A 23,322-nucleotide genomic window follows, 5' to 3' on the forward strand; every position below is an offset into this window, starting at 1 on the left:
GGATTACAGGTGTGAGCCACCGTGCCCAGTCGATTACTTTCTTAATCACAGGGGAAAAGAAAAAAAGTTTAATTACTTCTCTGTTGATTTGCAATCAAAAGAAATAAAAGTATTTTGTTTCTTTCCTTTTTTTTTTTTTTGTTTTTAAGAGACAGGGTCTTACTACGTTACCCAGTCTGGCTCAAACTCCTGGGCTCAAGAGATCCTCCCACCTCACCTCAGAAAGTGCTGGGACTACAGGTTTGAGCCACCCAGCCTGGCCAAAAGTATTTTCTAACACTATAGTTATGATACAATGTTCTATTTGATCGGGAAAGGTAAAATTAAATGTATAAAGTTCTTGGAGAAACGTCAAGAACTAAGAAAAGCACTTCTTTCAGTGAGTCTAAAGTATTAAATGCTGTAGTTTATCAGGGCACTTCCTTCTAGTGTTTTTCAGTGCCCTGGAAAGTGAACTTTAAAAAAAAAAAAAAAACAGATACAACTACTTCACAAGATTTGTCACTAAAAATGCTTTGAGTCTGCAGAACTGCCACCTACTGAAGCTGTATCATGATCATAAGCATTCTGAACACATTAACAAGTCCTAAAGGGATGTGACATCAAGAAGAACAGACAAACCTTCTGCCTTGCACAACCAGAAGTTATCAACTTTCAGAAGATCATTCTAATCCTTAAACAACCTGCCCTACACAGCCTCCAATGATGACTATACAGTAGGTAACTGCTTTAAAAAGTGATGAGTCAGGTTACAGTTATAGAAAAGAAAAGCTGAGTTAAAATGTTCCACAATTTACAGCCAAAGCACCATGTAAGCATGAAAAATGCCTTAACACAAACTCACCTGATTTATTTGAAGCATGTTAAGACAATATTGACCAAACTGCTGTATCCCTCACGGCTCCAAAAACTGGAAAACGAAAATGAAGAAATAAAGTTCAACTTAGCTGATAACCTCAATGACTGGTATTTTAAACACATGCCCTTGATCAAAATCAAATATAAAATGTAATTTATCCAGATCTCCATAGAACTTTCTATGATGATAAAAATGTTCTGTACTTGCACTGTCCAATCTGGAAGTCATTAGCCACATGTGGCTACTGAGCACTTGAAATGTGGCTAGAGCAATCAAGAAAATAATATTTAATTTTCTTTCATGTTCACTTGAATAACTACGTCACTAGTAGCCACCATACTGGACAGTACAGATCTGAACAAAGCTCCTTCTGCTTCTAGACTTCTAAGACAATCCCAACAAAAGTGAAGCTGTTAAAAATAAATCTGAGAGTTTCAGGTTAATATTTAATGTATACTTCCCTTTTTGCAGTCCTGTTTTAAACAGCTTTGTTCCCATCTTCTATACGATAAATTAATCCTAAAGAAGATGCAACACCACAAGTATTCTCTTAGATGGTATGGAAAAGAGCATATAGTACAATTATCTTGCTGAATAGTTTCTTTTTCTCTGTCATTTTGTCTGTTATCATCAGTATAAAAATAGTATGTATATTAAAATTTCAGGCTGGGCGTGGTAATCCCAGCATTTTGGGAGGCCAAGGTGGGTGGATCATTTGAGTTCAGGAGTTCGGGACCAGCCTGGCCAACATGGTGAAAACCCTGCCTCTACCAAAAATACAAAAATTAGCCAGGCATGGTGGCGCGTGCCTGTAATCTCAGCTACTCAGGAGGCTGAGGCAGGAGAATTGCTTGAACCCAGGAGGCAGAGGTTGCAGTGAGCCGAGATTGCGCCATTGCACTCCAGCCTAGGCGACAGAGCGAGACTCCATCTCAAAAAAAAAAAAAAAAAAAATTTTAATTTGAAAACAGATGCCAATGAAGGGCAGGAAAGTCCAAATTACAAATAAATAAATCATGGGATCTTGTAATGAAAAAAAGTTTATATAAAATATAAATTATATACAGACCTCTCCCCTAAAAATTATCTAAAGCAACAACACAATTGTGATACACAGCAAAAGGCCTATATCTAATCACCTGTATAGAAACTGTTATGCTGCTAAATTTTAATATTGAACTTTCCCCTGGAAGCAAACGTTTTGTAAGTACACACATACATACACAAACACACACCCATATTTGGCTACCATTTTTTCAAGATGACAAACTAGAGTCCATTCAAAATGACTTTGAAAACTTTAATATTTTTCTTACAATAGTGTCCTCAGCATCTGCATCAATTTTTATTTATTTTCTAATTACTGTCACATTTCCTATGAGAACGGGATGCTGTATAAAGAGCACACGGCCTGGATATTGGTGAATTTGAGTTTTAGTCAAAGTTCTTCAGATTACCTTCTGAGCCTTGGTTCAAATTACTTTGTGTATCTTTGAGTTCTTCTTTTTCTGTCTTCTTTTTTTTCTTCAATCTTTAAAAAGTAAGCTAAAGTCCTTGTGGTAGGCAGCCTCTAACAAATAGAATATAGCAGAAATAATGAGATACCACTTCCAAGATTAGGTTATAAAAATTCTTAGGTGTCACCTTCTCTCACTCATTTGCTCAGAGGGAGGCAGATGCCAAACTGTGGTGCCCTTTGGAGAGGCCCATATGGCAAAGAACTGAGAAAAGCCTCTGGCCAACAGCCAGCAACAATTGATTTCTTCAGTCCAAGAGCCCCAGGAAACTGAACCCTGCAAGAGCCACATGAATGAGTTCAGAAACAGATCTTCCACCAGTAGAGCTTCCAGATGTGACTGCAACCCCAACTGACAGCTTGACTACCACCTCTTTTATGAGCCACAGGCACCCAGCTAAGCTGCACCCAGATTTCTAACCCACAGAAACTGTAAGATAATGTTTGTTGTCTTAAGTCCTTAAATTCTGGTGCAATGTGCTATGCAACAATAAATAAGACTATCCTGTCCAACTCTATAATTCAATATTCCCATGGTGCTTTAGGTATTAATTAATATTTGGATAGGCAAAAAAATAAAATAAAATCCCTGTTCAACATGAGCAAATGAGTAACATTAGAACTTCAAAGTGGCAAATTATAAAACTTAAACATTTATATTTTCAATTCAAAAAATGAGATTATTCACAAGTGTAGCATTAGTCACATGGTGTTAAAATACACCCGCTTTCAATAGGAATGGAGTATCTCATTAAAAAAATACACTAGCTATAACTTAAAATACAAACACAACCAATCATCTTTTTTTTTAACTGAAAACAGTTCATTTAAAAAGTAAAGTGTGAATAACCACTAAAGCATCTCAGTGACTTAGTGTCCCTTGCTTTCTAGAATTTATCATTACTGGTCGGGTGTAGTGGCTCACGCTTGTAACTCAGCACTCCGGGAGGCCGAGGTGGGGGGATCACCTGAGGTCAGGAGTTCAAGACCAGCCTGGCCAACATGGTGAAACCCTGTCTCTACTAAAAATACAAAAATTAGCTGGGCATAGTAACACATGCCTGTAATCCCAGCTACTCGGGAGGCTGAGGCAGAAGAAATAAATGCTTGAACCCAGGAGGCCAAGGTTGCAGTGAGCCAAGATCATGCCACTGCACTCCAGTCCAGGTGACAGAGCAAGACTTCATCTCAGAAAAAAAAAAAAAAAAAGGCCAGGCGCAGTGGCTCACGCCTGTAATCCCAGCACTTTGGGAGGCAGAGGCGGGCGGATCATGAGGTCAGGAGATCGAGACCATCCTGGCTAACACAGTGAAACCCCGCCTCTACTAAAAATACAAAATATTAGCCGGGCGTGGTGGCGGGCGCCTGTAGTCCCAGCTACTCGGGAGGCTGAGGCAGGAGAATGGCGTGAACCCGGGAGGCGGAGCTTGCAGTGAGCCAAGATCGCGCCACTGCACTCCAGCCTGGGCGACAGAGCAAGACTCCGTCTCAAAAAAAAAAAAATTAACATTATTAAGCATTCACCAACTTTGAAAAACTCCACTTTGTCTTTATTAGTATACGTTGCTAAAGTTACAAATGCTTATCTACAGATCTCTATGTATTTCTTCAATATTAGAGGCTGATAACACTGGTGGCTGATTCCAAGAAGCAAGCAGAGTAAGATATTGGGGTACCTTTTTGAAAGTTCTAACCTTTTTTTTTTTCTTTTTTTTTGAGACGGAGTCTTGCCCTGTCACCCAGAGTGGAGTGCAACAGCTCAATCTCAGCTCACTGCAACCTCCACCTACCAGGCTCAAGTGATTCTCCTGCCTCAGACTCCCCAGTAGCTGGGGATACAGGTACACACCACCATGCCTGGCTAATTTTTGTATTTTTTGTAGAGACGGGGTTTCACCATGTTGGCCAGGCTGGTCTCGAACTCCTGGCCTCGGGTGATCCATCTGCCTCGGCCTCCCAAAGTGCCAAGATTACAGGCGTGAGCCACCACGCCCGGCCCGAAACTTCTAGTCTTCTGACACGGAAAAGATATTCCATGAAGTAACAAAAAATAAAACTTTATGAACATAAAATTAACCATACGATTTAAATATTCTGTAAGCCTTTTCTTTACAATATAAAGAGCTGTAGAAATTAAAACACATGAAACTAATGTCTATAACAGCACTCTGTAATTGGCTAACATTCTGAAAATTATACTTTTTTAAGCAAACCAGTTATTTTAGATTTACATCAATTTAAAAATTGTAGTTTGTAATTATACCATGGACAATTCAGAATGTTCACAGTGGCACGTCTTTAAGACTCTGTTTCTACTTTAAAGACACGCCCAGTCTACTGTCACATATTTTAAACAATTTGCTAAAATATCAAGACATATCAATAAAATGCAGAGCAGTTTTATACTACCTTTGGTTTCATAAAATCCACCTCCTCAGCTGGGTGTGGTGGCTCACGCCTGTAATCCCAGCACTTTTGGAGTCTGAGGCGGACGGATCACCTGAGGTCAGGAGTTCGAGACTAGCCTGGCGAACACGGCAAAATCGTCTCTACTAAAAATACAAAAATTAGCCAGGCATGGAGGCACGCACCTGTAGTCCAGGTACTCAGGAGGCTGAGGCAGGTGAATCGCTTGAACCCAGGAGGCGGAGGCTGCAGTGAGTGGAGATTGCGCCACTGCACTCTAGCCTGGGTGACAGAGTAAGACTCCATCTCAAAAAATAAAAATAATTAAAAAAAAAATCCACCTCCTCTATCACAAAAGTTTCCAGCTACAGTTGATTCCAATTACAACTAAGCGCTTTTAGAGAAATGTATCCATGCGTCCCAAAAATGCCCTATCTGGTCAGGCATATGAAGACAGGCAATTCTAGATTCCAAACTACTAAATGAAAACAAGCAGGATTATAGGGAGACGGCTGGGGAAGACGTGATGCTCATGAAGAATGGCCCAACCTGTAACTGCAATGTACTGCTGATATAAGTCGTACTTTAATTATGAATTACATTTTGCCCATCTGAGAAATTAAAAGCTGCACAGAAATCTATATAATCCCCAATAATTAAACTGCTTTATAAAACGGCACTGTTACTAAATATGTATAAATTTTTTATATCAGCACCCATCCTACAGTTGATAGGCAATTCTCACTTAAATGTCTTATTTGACAACATGAAAAGCAAAAAAAATTTACTATCTCTACTCTTAGACTACAAACTGCTACAAAACTATCAATTCAATGCTTATTACTCTAAAAAAGATATACGGTCCTTTAAAGAGCTTTTTAAAATGTTTTTCATTTTGATTTTTCAAAGTGGGTACCCAAAAACACTGCTTTTATGTAAGGAAAACAGAAGTCTTACGCCACAAACTATTCTAGTGGAAAACTCTAAATAACACAGGCCAGAAAAAAAAAAAAGGAAACTAACATTTTTCAGACACCAATTGTATACGCTAGGTGCCACATTTTGCCATTTTTACATCAACTCATTTAATCCTCATCATCTTGGGATGTAGGCATTATCTCCATTTTTCTAGAGGTTGGGTTATTTGCCTACAGTCACATTGCTAGGTTTAGAACGGTTCATTCTGGCCCAAAGTCGTCTTTTCTTCACTATACACCAAATTAAAAAAGACTTGCCTTCTTTTTAATTTTTTTTTTTTTTTTTTTTTTTGAGACGGAGTTCCACTCTTGCTGCCCAGGCTGGAGTGCAATGGGCACCATGTCGGCTCACCGCAAGATCCGCCTCCTGGTTTCAAATGATTCTCCTGCCTCAGCCTCCTGAGTAGCTGCGATTACAGGCATGCGCCACCACGGCCGGCTAATTTTACATTTTTAGTAGAGACGGGGTTTCTCCATGTTCGTCAGGCTGGTCTCGAACCCCCAACCCTCAGGTGATTCACCCACCTCGGCCTCCCAAAGTGCTGGGATTACAAGCATGAGCCACCATGCCCGGACATTTTTTTTTTTTTTTGAGACTGAGTCTCACTCTGTCACCCAGGCTGGAGTGCAATGGCGCCATCTCAGCTCACTGCAACCTCTGCCTCCCGGGTTCAAGCGATTCTCCTGCCTCAGCCTCCCGAGTAGCTGGGATTACAGGCGCGCACCACCACACCCAGCTAATTTTTGTATTTTTAGTAGAGACGGGGTTTCACCATGTTGGCCAGGCTGGTCTCGAACTCCTGACCTCCTGATCCACCTGCCTCGGCCTCCCAAAGTGCTGGGATTACAGGCATGAGCCACCCCACCTGGCCAATTTTTTTTATTTTCTATGATCAGCTTGGTGAAAAATAAAAGATTTGCCTTCTTATAATTTTTCCTGGAACAAAGTCAAGGGCTTGACCTCTAGGACAACATAATGGCAAAGCTCCTATATAGAACTTGGGGAGGATTATTTAAAATCAAACGATGCACACATAAATAAAAATGATAATTATTACTGATTCTAGACATCTAGTATTTTGTGTACCTATAAGAGGCACAAATATATCTATATGTGAATAATCATACTGTGCGTGTCTCAAACTATGCAGTCTAAGAGAATTCAATTTTGCAGTATCTAGAGTTTTCCCTCTTTATTATGATCTGTACCTATAAATGATCAGATTCCCAGCACTGAACGTGCACAAAACAAGATAATAATAGGAATAAAGAGAAGGGTAGGCACAAAGGAAAAAAAAAAAAAAACCTACCATATCTTCTAGAACCTAAACAGGAAAACCGCTCTGCCTCGATTTCTGGATTGTTTGTATATTTAAAAGCTTGATGACTATCTTAGATTTTTTTTATATTCATACTATTTGTTGAAAAGCAAACCAAGCCACTCTTCCTAGCACTTCATTCCAGACAAGCCAAGTAAGCTAAAATGTAAAATTTGCATGGTTTTCCAAGCTCAAGTATTTAGGAGTTAAGGATCACAATGTATGTAACTTACCCTTAAATGGTCCAGGGGAAAAATATTTTGTGTGTGATAGAGAGCAAATAATAAATACATAAAATGTTAACAGGTGAATCTGAATAAAGGTTACAAAGATTTTCTTTGTATTATTCTTATTCTTGCCATTTGTCTGTAAGCTTGAAATTATTTCCAAATAAAGTTAAAATTTAAAAATTACACAGCATTTTATTTGAAATTAACAATACATACTTGGATTACACAGCAACATTCTTACAAATACAAAACACTGGTTTTTATGGGGAAAAATGCAGTAATTTGTGAGCAAGTATGTACCATATCCTACCAACTTATCATCACTTAGGAATAAATTTCAGACTAGCCTACCATATAATAAAATATGGCAATAGTGACTTGACTTGAAACCATAGCAGGAAAACACAAACACACCAGATAGTTTGGCATAACTGCTTCGCAAATTTAATACAGGCCTGCTGCAAAATGCAGCAATCTACAATTAAAGTGTTATGTGATATCTCTTGTTTGCAGTAAGATACAAACTGAACAATGAAAATCTGGCCATACTACAAAACAGAGATGGAGAGTAAGTCTTGGTTTTGGTAGTTTTATTAAATAAGATTTTTCCACCGCAGCTGAGTTCACAACAGTGTACTTGAATCATCTAAAGAAAGCAAGGACGGGGAAGAAATATCCTGGAGAAATGTTGAAATCTTTTCTCCTCCAAGGTTACTATCACCCTGCCTGTCCATCACAATTTTGATTTCAAGTATTCACGATGCTGGTCTGAAACACAGGATGCATCAGAAGCCAAGTAATGCTCAGCAAAAGTTCACCAAAATTGTGAAAGCAAACATTAAATAAAAAACGTTTTCAATTAACAGTAAAATATCTTTAAAGGATCATCTCTAGCCTTTCTTTCTGCAGGATCCACCCACTTTAAAATCCTTTGGTAAATTCCCAGGTCTACCCTAATTGAATGGTCCCTCTCTATCTGCTCAAGCAGTTCTTAACCCTTTGGAGTGGGGATGGGGGTAAGGGGACATCACAGCAAATATGGACCCTTACCAAAGAAAATTATTCACAAATGCAAAATTCTACACACATTTCCAAAGACTTCCAGAATCCCACGGCCATTACCCCCACCGCCTCCCTAAGAATCCCAGAGTGGCGTGCTTCTCAATGGCCTCTGCGGAGCACCCCCAGCCCCCAAGCCACAGCCCCCGGCTCGACCCCGAAGAGACTAGAGTTCCTGCTCTCACACAGCGGATTCCGTAACTGAGCTTTGTCTCCTCGCCCAACTCCCTTCACCCCGGCAAGGTCACTACCGCCAACTACCCCTTTAAGCCGAGCCATCACGGTAGGAGTTCGTAACAGCCACAGCAGAACTTGCCTGTCATAGGATATATTTTGTCCCCTCGGCCCCACCTACCCTCCCCATTTCGGCAAGTTACGTCTTTACCACTAGCCCATTCTACAGAAATAGCTGCCGCCGCCACCCTCCGGCGCGCCCCGGCCCCGCCGCTCCGCCTCCAGCGCCCCCAGGCCCATTTCCCGCAGACCCTCCCCGGGCCGCCCTCCCCTGCCCTACTCTAGGCGCTCCCTCTCCCTCGCAGCCACACCGTGGCTGCACTCGCCGTCCTCTCTTCCGGCCGCTACCACCCCGGCCCCCTAGAACCCCAGCCTCCCGCGCCCGCAGCCGCGTTCCTGTCTCCCCGACCTCCGCACCCCCACTTGGCCCGGCCTCCTCGCCTTCCTCCCGGCTCCTCCCCTCAGGACACCTGTGTCGTCCCACCCCCTCCACCACACACGCACCCCCCACCCCAATTCCTTCGCCTCCCTGTCCTCCCTCCCCCGCCGGTCTCCCCTCCCCGCTGCTGCCCCGAGAGCCCGATGTGGGAGGGAAGGCGCGGGGGAGGGGAGGCCGCGAAGGGGGCTGCTTTTCTCCGGGTTCCCCGTGCTGCGGAACTGCAGGGCTCCCCAGCGCCCTCTGCCTTCTTCGCCGGCGGCGCGGAAGTCGGGGTCTCCCGGACGCCCCCGATGAGGGTATTTACCTTCTTGCCGGGGACACTTTGCAGACGGCTCCAACATTGGCAAACACTACAGAGAACTGACCCCGCTCGGCCGCCGCCGGCTTCCACCCCTCGGGCTCCCCGCCCCCCGCCTCCGCCCGCCTCCGCCCGCCTCCCCGGCGCTCCCGCCGCGCCCTCCCGCGCTCGCGCCGCGCGCCCCCGCCTGCGCAGCCGCTCCCGCGCCCCAGCACGCCCGGCCGGCGCGCGCGCCCGGCACCGGCTCTACCTCCACTCCGCCTCCCGCCGGCCCGCGACCAAGCGCGGCCATTGTTCGCGACGCAGCTCCCGCCCCCTGGCGGCTGCCGGGCCCCAGCAGCTGCAGGCTCTGCGGGGCTAGCGGCGGCGAGCTGGGCCCCTGGGCGAGGGCCATTCCCGGGGGGCTTGGGCACGCGGGCGAGCGACTGCGCAAGGAGCGCGCCCGGTCCGCAGTCTCCTCGTCCCCGGCGCGACTCCCCGCCCCCTCGTCTGCCAAGGGTGGGCCTGGGGCAGCCCCTTCCACACCTGCAACTCGGCAACTTCCTTCCCCGCCCGACTGACCGTCTGCTCTTTCTGGTCCGCACCCTGTGCTCTGATTCCCCGCTCGTACCTTTCCCAGGCTCTCCGGCTGCCCCTCTGTGCTGTGCAGGGGACGCGCGACCATCCCGCGTCTGCTCCGGCCGCCGCTGTGCAACGCACGGTTTAGCGGATCTTGCACCTTTCTAGACGGGGGAGGGGGCGGGGAGGAGGTTGCTTCACCGTCTCGCCCAGCAAACACCAGGGATCCGTGATCACCTGCTCGCCAAGACCCGCGGCGTGGCCAGACCTCCTCTTCTACCGAAAATATTAGTCACATGAAAAAGAATCCTTGGAGCCAAAAATGAGAACCATTGAAAACAATGCCCTGAATCCTAGATTTATGAGGCAAGAGTGCCAGAAAACAGAAATTACGTCTTAATTCGTCCTGGTTTTGATGTGGATTACTTTTGTCTAGATAACTTCAACCCAGTTAAGCTCAATGAAACTGAACACTTCGTTTAGTAACCGGCACCAAAAATAATCTGACAAAGAAATTTCGAAATAGAACTATTAGTGTGTTTTCACAAACTTACTCGTTTGCAACGTTATTTCTAGGGTTTCTTCCCAGTGTCACTTCTCTGACTGAGAAATGTCTCCCAGGCCGGTGATTTCAGTCATCATCTAAAACCAATCTCATGTCTGCACCTGGGAAGGTAGTGTGTGTCCTGGTTAACCGCAAGGGCGCCAGAGTCAGATAACCAAGGCTGGATATCCGCTTGCTAACTGGTGAGGAGACCACGGGCATGTTACTTATCCTGTGCATCAAGAGGAGACTACATGTGATAGATAGTTCGTATTTAAATGTGACAATACATATGAAGCCCTTTAAATAGGACCGGGTATGTAGTACCTCTCCTGGTACAATGTTAGCTACAGCTATATTTTTCCTCCCAGAACTCTTTCCTATGCTCCTTTCCCCCCTTTTCACCTCTGCCAGTTCCCTCGGATTTAACATGTTGCATCCTCCCTAAATTTGCTGTGCTCCTTCTAGCGGCTTACGCACCCAGTCAGCATTCTAATACAGTCATGCCTTACCTAGCCACAAGGATATGTTCTGAGGAACGTGTCATTAAGCGATTTTTGTTGTTTTGCGCACATCATAGCGTGTTCTTACGCAAACCTAGGTAGTCTAGCCAACTACTTGCTTTGGCTATATGGTATATAGCTATTGCGCCTAGGCTGCAAACCTGTACAGTGTGTTACTGTACTAATACTGTAGGCAATTTTGCAACACAAGGGTATTTGTACCTAAACAGAAAACCTACAGTAAAAGAACTATATAATCTTTTTTTTTTTTGAGACGAAGTCTCGCTCTGTCACCCAGGCTGAAATGCAGTAGCACAATCTCAGCTCACTGCAACCTCCACCTCCCGAGTTCAAGCAATTTTCCTGCCTCAGCCTCCCTGGTAGCTGGGATTACAGGCACATGCCACCACGTCCAGCTAATTTTTGTATTTTTAGTAGAGACGGGGTTTGACCATGTTGGCCACGCTGGTCTCGAACTCTTGACCTCAAGTGATTCCCCGCCGGCCCCCCCCCCCCCCGCCCCTCCCCACCACCTCGGCCTCCCAAAGTGCTGGGATTGCAGGCGCCCGGCTTAAAGAACTGTATAATCTTATGGGACCACCGTTGTATATGCAGTCCACCTGTCCATCATTGACTGAAAGAAGTTGACCAGAAATTGTTGAATATTTTGAATGAATACCTTACTTTCCCACCAGCCATACCAAGGGTCAAGCTGCCTACCTCTGTGTCTTTCCATAGGCTATTCTCTCTCCCTTCAGGCTACCCTTCTCTCGCCTGGTGAACAAATAATCTTTCACGGCATTCAAAAATCACCTTCTTGGCCGGGTGTGGTGGCTCACACCTGTAACCTCAGCACTTCGGGAGGCCGAAGCGGGCAGACCACGAGGTCACGAGTTTGAGACCAGCCTGGCCAACATGGTGAAACTCCATCTCTACTAAAAATACAAAAATTAGCTGGGCGTGGTGGCACACACCTGTAATCCCAGCTACTTGGGAGGCTGAGGCAGGAGAATTGCTTGAACTCGGGAGGCAGAGGTTGCAGTGAGCTGAGTTCGAGCCACTGCACTCTAGCCTGGGCAGCAGAGCAAGACTCCATCTCAAGAAAAAAAAGAAAAAAAATCACCTCCTTGAGAGGCATTCTCTAACACTCCTCTGAGCAGGCGAGTGCTCTTCTCTTGTACCTCTCTTCTCTGATATTGTAGGTATGTTAGAATTTTTTTTTTTAGCCTGTCTGTATCTACCAAACATTGCATTGTTGAAGGGCAGGCTCTGTGTCTCATGCATATCTGTAGTCCCAGCATCCAACAGCAAGTAGGTGGACGGTAAATCCTTTGGTATAAATGGATGAGTTTATACTTTTGGAAAGAACTCTGGGGTGGTCAGATTTCATTCTCTTTGATTCAGATCCTTAAAGTTAATTGAAAACTTTATCCCTCCCGTAACTGTTCCTCATAACTGATTTTCAGTCATTGGTAAACCCCAAATAGAATGAATTTTTCTAAGTCACAATTATCAGAAAGGAAATTGTTTTTTAATTGAATCAGCACTTTCAGTTGCTCAAGGTATATAGTATCAGTACATGAAATCACCTGAGTGACATGGAAATCCACACATCACTCTACAATCATTTTAGGATTTACTTTAAAATAAAATATTTGTATAGGAGTTGAAAATAATGAATATTTAAAGAGCGGTGGGCCAGCCGGCTGTGGTGGCTCACGTCTATAATCCCAGCACTTTGGGAGGCTAGCGTATCACCTGAAGTCAGGAGTTCGAGACCAGCCTGGGCAAAATGGCAAAAACCCCATCTCTACTAAAATTAGAAAAACTACCTGGGCGTGGTGGTGCGTGCTTGTAGTCCCAGCTACTCAGGAGGCTGAGGTGGGAGGATCACTTGAGCCTGGGAGGCAGAGGTTGGAGTGAGCTGAGATCACACTACTGCACTCCAGCCAGGGCCACAAAGAAAGACCCTGTATCAAAAAATATAAATAAATAAAGAACAGTGGGCCTATTAATAGGCAGCTGATTAAAGCAAATGAGGCCAGGCGCAGTGGCTCATGCCTGTAATCCCAGCACTTTGAAAAGCCAAAGAGGGAGGATCTCTTGAAACCAGGGGTTTGAAACCAGCGTGGGCAGTAAAGTGAGACCCCACCTCCATTTAATTAAAAATAAATTTAAAATTAAATTTTTTTTTAAAAAGCGTCTGTTTTATCAACACATTTTTACCAGTCACCATTGCAGTGAAATGTTCAAGCATCAGGAAAAAGATAATGCTTTCAAATTCACCATTATCGGATTTGAGCAGTTTGAATGGGACAGATTCCAGAATCACAAACTCCAGTTTCCTTCTATGTCCTCTTCTTTCTTATATTATATCTTATATTATGATGCCCTTTTCTTGACATTTATTTTCCTGTAAAATTCATCTAGCCCCCAGCACCCACCATAGAAGTTACCCTCCTTTATTGATGATATCTGAATTTTTTTAAATTCTTTTTTTGAGACAGAGTTCTTGCTCTCGCCCAGGTTAGAGTACAGTGGTACAATCTTGGTTCACTGCAACCTCTGCCTGCAGGGTGCAAGCGATTCTCATGCCTCAGCCTTCTGAGTAGCTGGGATTACAGGCATGTGCCATCAGGCTTGGCTAATTTTTGTATTTTTGGTAGAGACAGTTTGTTTTGCCATGTTGCCCAGACTGGTCTTGAACTCCGGGCCTCAAGTTATCTGCCCTCCTCGGCCTCCCAAAGTGCTGGCATTACAGGAATGAGCCACTGCATGGCCCTGAATTTATTTTTATCACTACACACTATTTATGTGTTTCTTCTACTATATCTTAAGCTCCTTGAAGGCAACAACAATGACTTTCTCTTCTTTGTTTCTCTGGGACTTAGCACAGTGCTCACTAAATGCTTGTCAAATGAAGGGATTAGCAAATTTGACCAACATTTACTGAATACCCACTATGGGCCAAGTACTATTCTTGGCCTAGGGATGTGTAGCAACGAAAAAAATCTGCAAAATCTTTGTCCTCATGGAACTTACAGGGGAATGAATGAATAACAAATGCATGAAATAAGCACTTCCAAACACTGTACTTTATTAGAATAGCATTCTGAGGCCGGGCGCGGTGGCTCACGCCTGTAATCCCAGCACTTTAGGAGGCCGAGGCAGGCAGATCATGAGGTCAAGAGATCGAGACTGTCCTGGCCAACATGGTGAAACCCTGTCTCTACCAAAAATACAAAAAAATTAGCCAGGCGTGGTGGCACACGCCTGTAGTCCCAGCTACTTGGGAGGTTGAGGCAAGAGAATCGCTTGAACCCGTGAGGCGGAGTTTGCAGTGAGCTGAGATAGCTCCACTGCACTCCAGCCTGGGCAACAGAGTGAGACTTCGTCTCAAATAAAAAAAAAACATTTTGAAAATTCCCAATATATTTATGTGTTCAGTAATAAAAGTATTGCTTGAAACTCAACTTGTTTTCATAATAATGTCAAAATAATTATTAAGGTATTAGCCACCTAAAACGCTGCTAAAAAACAGTAGAAATATATTTTACAAAGTGGGCTAGGTGCTGTGGCTTGTGCCTGTGACCCCAGCATTTTGAGAGACAGAGGCAGGAGGATCGCTTGAGGCCAGGAGTTCAAGACCAGCCTGGACAACATGGCCAAATCCTGTCTCTACAAAAAATAAAAAATTAGCCGAGTGTGGTGGTGCATTTCTGTAGTCCCTGCTACTTGGGAGGCTGAGGTGGGAGGACCACTTGAGCCCTGGAGCTCAAGGCTGCAGTGAGCCATGATCACACCACTGCACTCTAGCCTGGGCAACAGAGAGAGAACCTGTCTCAAAAGAAAAAAAAAGGTAATCAATTATATATAAGAAACAAGCAGGTATATGAAAAAATGCTCAAAATTACTAATCATCTGGAAAATGCAAATCAAAACCACAATGAGCTATCATCTTACCCCAGTTAGAATGACTGTTATCAAAAAGACAAAAGATAAATGCTGGCCAAGATGCAGAGAAAAGGAAACTCTTGTACACTGACAGTGGGAATGTAAATTAGTACAGCCGTTATGAAAAACTGTATGGAAGTTTCTCAAACAACTAAAAATAGAACTGCCATACAACCCAGCAACCACTACTGCATATTTATCCAAAGAAAAGAAAATCAGTATAGCGAAGAGATATCTGTACCCCCATGTTCATTGCAGCACTATTCATAATAGCCAAGATATGGAATCAACCTAAGTGTTCATCAGTGGATGAACCGACAAATAAATGGGTATAATGGAATATTATTCAGCCTTATAAAAAGAGATCCTACCCATTAAGACAAAATATATGAATCAAGGATATTATGCTAAGTGAAATAAGCCAGACACAGAAAGACAAATATCACATGTTCTCACTCATATGTGAGAGCTAAAAAAGCTGATCTCATGGAGATAAAGAGTAGAATGATGGTTACCAGAGGCTGGGAAGGGTGAGTGGGGGAAATGAAGAGGGATTGGTTAATGGGTACAAACATACAGTTAGATAGAATGAATAAGTTCTAGTGTTCAATAGCACAGTGGGGTGGCTATAGTTAAAAATAATTTATTATACATTTTAAAATAGCTAGCAGAGAAGATCTGAAATGTTCTCAATACAAAGAAATGATAAATGTCTGAGGTAATGGATATCCCAATTACCATGATTGATCACTATACATTGTATGTATGTATCGAAATATTACATGTACTCCATATACATGTACAGATACCATGTATCAATTAAAAAAGAAAACTCTCAACTAATAAGAAAAAAAATAAGGAAACAAAAATATACTTAATGAAGTATGGAAAGATTCTTTTTTAAGTCTTTTTTTTTATCCCCCTGAGACAGGGTCTTGCTCTGTTGCCCAGACTGGAGTCCAGTGGCACAATCATGGCTCACTGCAGTATTGACCTCCTAGGCTCAGGTGATCCTCCCTCCCCAACCTCCCAAGTAGCTGGGACTACAGGCACGTGCCACCATGCCTGGCTAATTTTTTTAATTTTTAGTAGAGACGAGGTCTCACTAAGTTGCCCAGGCTAGTCTTGAAATCCCAAGCTCAAGTGGTCCTCCTGTCTTGACCTCCCAAAGTGTGAGCCACAGTGCCTGTCCTCTTTTAAGTCTTATGGCACATGGTGTTAAATAATTTTTTTTGAATACAAATAATAGGAACTGGGTGTGGTGGCTCATATCCGTAATCCCAGCACTTTGGGAGGCCAAGGTAGGGGGATCACTTGAGGCCAGGAGTTCAAAACCAGCCTGGTCAACATAATGAGACCCTGTCTCTACAAAAAACAAAAAGTTTTTAATTATCTGGGCATGGTGGCATGCACCTGCAGTCCCAGCTACTCAGGAGGCTGAGGTGGGAGGATCACTTGAGCCTGGGATGTCAAGGCTGCAGTGAACTGTGATGGTACCACTGCACTCCAGCCTGGGTGATAGAGCGAGACTCTGTCTCTAAAGAATAAAATTAAATTAAAAATATATACAAAGAATAAAAAGAAAAATTTGCCGAGCATGATGGTGCACACCTGTAGTTCCAGCTACTCGGGCTGAGGTGGGAGGGTCTCTTGAGCCCAGGAGTTGAAGGCTGCAGTGAGTCATGATCATGCCACTGCGCTCCAGCCTCAGAGTAAGGCCCTATCTCAAAAAAATAAATAAGTAAATAATAGGGACCCAATTATGCTTGTAATGACTTTTCTTTTTTCTCTATAACTATCATCTTGTCTCTGAATTTTTTTTTCTTGGGGATATTCGCATTTTCCACCATGCCAGAAATTTGGTTGTCAGCCAGTCTATCTAGTATTTTGATTCTAATTTTTTCCTTAAATTTGTAATGGCATCATTTAAGTCTTGATTTCATTCTTAATTAAAATACAAGACAAGATAGCTTTACAGTCTGCCCTTTCAACTCAATCTGTGTTTTATCATCTGTAAGTTGAAGGTTTTTTAACAGAATATACAGATTCTACAAACCTTGGCATGTCCTTGTCAGGTAGCCCGTTTGAAGAGACGTCAGCTGCCACGTCAATGAGTCAGGGCTTTCATGACTAAGTCATCCTGGGACCCCATGGAGAGCTCTAGTGGGGAGGAGAGTGAGGACTGGGACAAGCCCATAGAGGTTCCCATCCTCTCTGTGCATCCAGTGGTCACCAACAAGATAAAAGTGAACCAATTGCAGCCACAGTGGGGAGCCCCCAAGAATTGCCCCCACCTGAAAGACTGCAGCACACCACGATGTGGGATTACACTACTGTAGAATTGGTGGAGCTGGGAAATAGGTTCAGACACAAGGGGAGCATCAATAGCGGGGTGGCTGCTCCATCTAGGAGTTGTGGAGATGGAGGAAGCTATTATACTCCCAAGACTCAGGATGAGTAAAATGGCATCCATTAGAAAACCCATCAGAAAAATATGTTACATTTTTCTGTAGTGCAAAGCCTTCATAGAAATAGTCTTCTGTTCCATGAGGTATTTTTCTTCTAACTTGAGTTCTTCCTTTATCTTTTGAATACAGTGTTCCATTTATTTGTTTATTTAGCTATAATAGTGGCATAATTTTTTTATTTTTATTTTTATTTTGAGATGGAGTCTTGCTGTGTCACCCAGGCTGGAGTGCAGTGGCGCCATCTCGGCTCACTGCAAGCTCCGCCTCCCAGGTTCACGCCATTCTCCTGCCTCAGCCTCCCTAGTAGCTGGGACTACAGGCACCTGCCACCACGCCCGGCTAATTTTTTTGTATTTTTAGTTTCACAGTGTTAGCCAGGAAGGTCTCGATCTCCTGACCTTGTAATCCGCCCGAATAATGGCATAATTTTAACATAATTTATTCTTATTTTGTTCATATTTAATCTGGGAAACTGTACCCAGATCCTCTATTAGCTTAGCTTTGCCCAGTCTAATGGGCTTCTGGAGAAAATAAGATTTTATTTCATTAGTTTTTAGGAGTGGGAAAGGTTCTAGAACCTGGTTTTATTCCACCCTGTTTACCTTAAATATCGAATACTTTTCTTTGAACTATACAAATATATTATATATGTAACAAAACCTAGAAGTGTAACTTGTTAGTTATTATTTGAATGTCCTTGCAGTGGAAATAAATTTGTGACATCTCTGCACACAAGAGAAGGAGGAGGGGGCTAGGGGAGAAGGGAAAGATGGCAAGTATTGCTTTTTAAACAAGTACAATGACTTCTTTAAACACTTCTTAATTGTGACTGTTTTGACAGACATCATCTTAGCAATCACTTCATCTTTCCTTTCCAATAACTTTTCCAAAAGACTTCATTATAAACTTCATAAAACATTGTTTTTCTCTTGCCAATTATAAAGGAGGAAAAAAACTAAAAATTTCAGCTATGTATACCTGTATTGAAGAGGAACAATTCCAGAATTCCAGGAACTGAGGATAAAGGGGCAGACAAGTAGATTGGCCACACACAATGCAGTGATACAGAGAAACTACAGACAATATCTGAACAATTTTCTGTAGTCTCTCTGTATCACTGCCATTGTGTGTGGCCAATCTATTAATATTTATCTGTCCCTTCATCCCAAGTTCCTGGAATTGTTGCTTCTCATTCTTTCTTTTCTTGGCTAATTGTCAATAGCATTCTGAATTTGAGACATATTGCAGTGTAATATGGCACCCCAAAATGTAGCAGCTTCAAGCAACAATTTATTTAGTTCAGGCAGGGCTCAGTATCCTGTCTCTGCCCCATGCAGTATCAGCTAAGGGCACCTCAAAGGCTGGGAGCCCAAATCATGTAAGGACTCACTCATCTATAGTTGATGATGGTTTTCCACTGGGACCGCAGCTGGGGCTGTCAACCAGAACACCCACATGTGGCTTTTCTATGTACCTGCAGATGTTGCTGGGGTAGGGCTGAGAGAGGAAGGAACAAACCCTGAGTTTGGCCCCCTCACAGCATGGTGGCTGGGTTCCAAGAAACCAGAAGTAAAAGTCACTACTTTCTTAAAGCGTGGCCCAGAATTCAAATATGCTTTGAATTCTGCCCATATTCTACTGGTCAAATCACACAGTCCAGATTCAAGGGGAGGGCACCTGATCCTTTCTTTCCGTGGAAGGCACGTCAGAGGATCTTAGAATCACATTTAAAACTCCACACATTTTCCTGTAATCCCAGCACCTTGGGAGGCCAAGGCAGGCGGATCATTTGAGGTCAGGAGTTCGTGACCAGCCTGGCCCACATGGTGAAACCCCATCTCTACTAATAACACAAAAATTAGCTGGCCGTGGTAGCAGACGCCTGTAATCCCAGCTACTCAGGAGGCTGAGGCAGAAGAATCGCTTGAATCCGGGAGGCAGAGGTTGCAGTGCACGGAGATCATGCCACAGCATGCCAGCCTGGGTGACAGAGTGAAACTGTGTCTGAAAAACAAAAACAAAAAACAAAAACAAAAAAAACAAAAAATACCTCCACACATTCTCTGAAACATATCACCTTGTCTTTTCACCATATTGCTCCTATGTTAATATAAAGGTGACATAGAAAATTTCCTTCCATTGGTACCTACGCTTTTCTGCATGAATCATCTCAGCTGGCTTAATTCATTTAACACCTTTCTTGTGCTGAAGACAGATAGGCACACCTGCACTGCAGAGATTACAAACACCAGATTGAAGTGGAACAGGCCTTACTAGTCTTTTCTAGTCTATTCTCCTTCCCAGGTCAAGGGGGATGCTTTAGGCAAGTTAAAACAGTCAGTAGTTGCGGTAGCAGCCGAGATGAAGGAGTAAGTTGGAAGCTGGAGGAAACTCCCAGGCAGTAACATGCAATATGTAACATTTAGTCATGGCCTGTTTCTGGGACATGCTGTAGCTGGAAGTGGGCCATGATCTCAGTGGGGAAATGGCCTAGGGAGGGACCAACGGAAGGCTGTCTGACAAGGTCGGGCCAGGCTACTAGTGTCAGAGTGCTCAGTACCCAGAGCAGGGTTTGTTCCTTCCTCTCCCAGCCCTACCCCAGCATCATCTGCAGGCCTGAGCCCTTCATTCATTTTCTCATTGAACAAACATGCCTGCCAGTGGCAGTGCAGCCTGCTGGTGTGTTCAGATATTGTCTCTAGTCTCTCTGTATCACTGCCACTGTGTGTAGCCAATCTACTTGTCTGCCCCGTCATCAAAGTTCCTGGAATTGTTGCTTTCTGCATCCTGTTGACTGCTCTCCAACACACACACACACACACAAACACACACACACACACACACACACCACATACCATTTCTTTTTTCCTTTTTTTTTTTTTTTTTTTTTTTTTTGAGACAGAGTCTTGCTCTGTCACCCAGGCTGGAGTGCAGTGGTGCAATCTCGGCTCACTGCAACCTACACCTCCCAGGTTCAAGCAGTTCTCCTCTCTCTGCCTCCCAAGTAGCTGGGATTACAGGTGCCCGCCACCACACCCAGCTAATTTTTGTATTTTTAGTAGAGACTGGGTTTCACCATGTTGGCCAGGCTGGTCTCGAACTCCTGACCTCGTGATCCACCCACCTCAGCCTCCCAAAGTGCTGAGATTACAGGAGTGAGCCACTGTGCCCGGCCTCTCTTTTTTCCTTTTCAACTTTTATTTTAGAATCGGGGGTATACATACAGGTCTGTTACAAAGGTATATCACACACACACACCATTTTTAAATATCTAATATACAACTTTCTCCTATCTAGGACCTGCTGGCCTCTATGCCTAGGGCTGAACCCAGCCTACTCTCTTCCTCTCCTCTAAGGATATCATCACTTCAGTGTTGTCCCAGACATCCGTGAACAATAAAACCACGGCTACCTCAAGTCTTGTATGTTGACCCACTCTTTTCCTTTCCTCCTCTACTCCAGCTTTAACCACCAACCTTTGCTTAGTTTGAATTGAGTTTATGATACCTTCTCAGAGTTGTTCTAACCTTTTGGGGACCTCTGCTCCTAGCTCCCTAATTTGCTTGGAACTGCACTAAGAAGTATACCCTTGACTTTTCCAAAGTCACTCTGGCCAGATCACCACTATGTTATACAGTGTGTTTGTGAAAATTTTTTTAAAAGTACCTCTCTAGGTAGTCACAGATCTTTAGGTACAAGTGTTGCTGAGTAAGCCTCACCTTTGTGCCTAGAGAAAAGGAGTGAGCAGAACATGCACAGTCTACGGTATTTTGTTTTGTTTTGAGACAGGGTCTTGCTCTGTTGCCCAGACTGGAATGCAGTTGCACGAACACAGCTCAATGCAGCCTCAACCTCCTGGGCTCAAGCAGTCCTCCCACCTCAGCCTCCCGCATAGCTGGGACCACAGGTGCATGCCACCACACCCAGCTAATTTTTTTTTTTTTTTTTTTTTTTTAGTTGAGGCAGGGTCTTGTCATCTTGCCCGGGCTGGTCTTAAACTCTTGAGCTCAAGTGATCTACCCACCTCAGCCACTCAAAGTGCTGGAATCACAGGCATGAGCCACTGTGCCCAGCCAGTCTAAGGTATTTTGTTATAGCAGCCCAAATTTACTAAGACAGAGCCCCTTTGCTGGGGCTTTTGTGAACAGACAACCCAGAACACTACGCATATTGTCTTTGGGCCGTCAAGCTCAGTCAATTCCCTTAAGCTAGTTGGTAGTTTCTCAATACCCTTACCTTAGAAATGGTCTAGAGGCTGGACACAGTGGCTCATGCTTATAATCCCAGCACTTTGGGAGGCCAAGGAGGGAGGACCACATGAGCCCAGGAGTTTGAGACCAGCCTGGGCGACATAGCGAGACCTCATCTCTACTAAATTAAAAAAAAAATTAGCCCAGTGTGGTGGTGCATGCCTGTAGTCCTAGCTACTTGGGGGACTGAGGCAGGAAGATTGCTGGAGCCCGGGAAGTTGAGGCTACAGTGAGCCCTGATCGTGCCACTGCACTCCAACCTGAACAATAGAGCAACCCTGTCTCCAAAAAAGGAAAACAGAAATGGTCTAGTCTTTGCTGTTTCACTCCCATGTTGGTGCCACTTTTCCACTTCTTCTAGTGAGTGTCTGTCTCCCACTTCTTATAAGGAATTAAAATACTCGTCACTAGATCCTATCAGGTCACAATTTTCCCAGCACTTCCTTTAGAGACAGGGTCAATGAATACTGTCAGAATTATCCTTGGATCCTCTAAAATGAGAACACAAAGCCAGAACCAGTCTAAAGACAGGGCTAGCAATATTAAGCATGGAAAATTTTAACCTATGGATTCCCAAATCCTAGATAATAAGCAAGACTGATCCAGAACATCATGTAGCATAATTCCATGGAATCATTACACTGAACATTAATAGATGTTATGTCAGTAAAGAATTCTTTAATTAAATACATCCAAGAAGCTGTGAATTCAACAAAGTTAAAGAAGCTTGGCCTGGTGCAGTGGCTCATGCCTGTAATCCCAACATGTTGGGAAGCTGAGGAGAGAGGATCCTTTGGGCCCAGGAGTTAGAGATCAGCCCGAGCAACAGAATAACACCCCATCTCTACAAAAAGTTTAAAAATTAGCTGGGCATGGTAGCGCATGCCTGCAATCCCGGCTACTCGGAAGGCTGAGGTGGGAGGATTGCTTGGGCCCAGGAGTTGGAGGTTGCAGTGCACCACTGCACTTCAGCCTGTGTGACAGTAACACCCTGTCTTTATGAAAATAAAATAAGAAGTTTTTTTTTTTTGATTGCAGAACTTCTCAAAATCTTCTGCCAATATAAGTGAAGTTTGCAAGAAAGGGATTGGATCTGTTCTATACCCCAGGCCCATTTGACCGTAGGAACTTTTTGGCAGGAAGCACATCAGTGGAGCACATTTTGGGAAACACAAAGGCACAGTTGGAGATCAAGCAGAAGGGTTCTACCTAGGGTAGAACAGAAGTCTCTGATGTTCAGCTAAGAATGGGAAGATTTCTGGTAAAATGAAAAAGATCATTACGTTGCTGATTTTGCCCTCCATCTTTAACCATCAATTGACTTTTATAGGCTTTCTCTCTGTTCTCTAGTAGCTCTACTTTCTTAATTTTGAGCTTTAAAATGTCATCTTGGACTATTGATGGTCCACTCAAGATGTACAACACCAACTCTGGAGGCAGGTGATCAACCTTTCATTAGAAATTAAACAGTCAAGACAAGTAGAAGACATGACAATGTCTGCAAACATAGATTTCAATGCTTTAAAGCAGAGGTCAGCCGGGCATGGTGGCTCAGGCCTGTAATCCCAGCACTTTGGGAGGCCGAGGCAGGTGGATCACAAGGTCAGGAGTTCTAGACCAGCCTGGCCAACATAGTGAAACCCCATCTCTACTAAAAATACAAAAATTACCCGGGCATGGTAGTGCGCACCTGTAGTCCCAGCTACTC

At 43.8% G+C, this 23,322-nt stretch overlaps 1 protein-coding gene across 7 annotated transcripts in view, besides 5 other annotated features; it reads right to left on the reverse strand.

Annotated features, from left to right (window-relative positions):
• Window positions 1-10,041, reverse strand: part of STAU2 (staufen double-stranded RNA binding protein 2) — a 327,112-nt gene extending 317,071 nt beyond the window's left edge. For 4 of the 7 annotated variants that reach the window (NM_001164382.2, NM_001164381.2, NM_001164380.2 and 1 more), the window contains exons 1-3: window positions 9,344-9,401; window positions 2,317-2,429; window positions 845-910 (exon numbers count right to left, since the gene is read on the reverse strand). Coding sequence is in view for 3 of the 7 variants with exons in the window: in NM_001164381.2 (NP_001157853.1) it covers window positions 845-862 (18 nt within the window). In the remaining 4 variants the exon portion in view is untranslated. Of the gene's footprint in view, window positions 1-844; window positions 911-2,316; window positions 2,430-9,343; window positions 9,402-9,947 lie in introns of those variants that run through there. The other 3 variants (NM_001164383.2, NM_001164385.2, NM_001164384.2) reach the window with 2 other exon arrangements.
• Window positions 8,804-8,863: a silencer, noted in NCBI's record as "silent region_19288". NCBI's record gives its function as "represses an Ori minimal core promoter by ATAC-STARR-seq in GM12878 lymphoblastoid cells {active_cell/tissue: GM12878}" and the evidence as "EXISTENCE:reporter gene assay evidence [ECO:0000049][PMID:35858748]".
• Window positions 8,974-9,153: a silencer, noted in NCBI's record as "silent region_19289". NCBI's record gives its function as "represses an Ori minimal core promoter by ATAC-STARR-seq in GM12878 lymphoblastoid cells {active_cell/tissue: GM12878}" and the evidence as "EXISTENCE:reporter gene assay evidence [ECO:0000049][PMID:35858748]".
• Window positions 9,444-9,533: a silencer, noted in NCBI's record as "silent region_19290". NCBI's record gives its function as "represses an Ori minimal core promoter by ATAC-STARR-seq in GM12878 lymphoblastoid cells {active_cell/tissue: GM12878}" and the evidence as "EXISTENCE:reporter gene assay evidence [ECO:0000049][PMID:35858748]".
• Window positions 9,614-9,903: a silencer, noted in NCBI's record as "silent region_19291". NCBI's record gives its function as "represses an Ori minimal core promoter by ATAC-STARR-seq in GM12878 lymphoblastoid cells {active_cell/tissue: GM12878}" and the evidence as "EXISTENCE:reporter gene assay evidence [ECO:0000049][PMID:35858748]".
• Window positions 18,660-18,749: a silencer, noted in NCBI's record as "silent region_19292". NCBI's record gives its function as "represses an Ori minimal core promoter by ATAC-STARR-seq in GM12878 lymphoblastoid cells {active_cell/tissue: GM12878}" and the evidence as "EXISTENCE:reporter gene assay evidence [ECO:0000049][PMID:35858748]".

This window comes from Homo sapiens, chromosome 8, assembly GCF_000001405.40.
Source record: "Homo sapiens chromosome 8, GRCh38.p14 Primary Assembly".
Classification (NCBI taxonomy): Eukaryota; Metazoa; Chordata; class Mammalia; order Primates; family Hominidae; genus Homo; species Homo sapiens.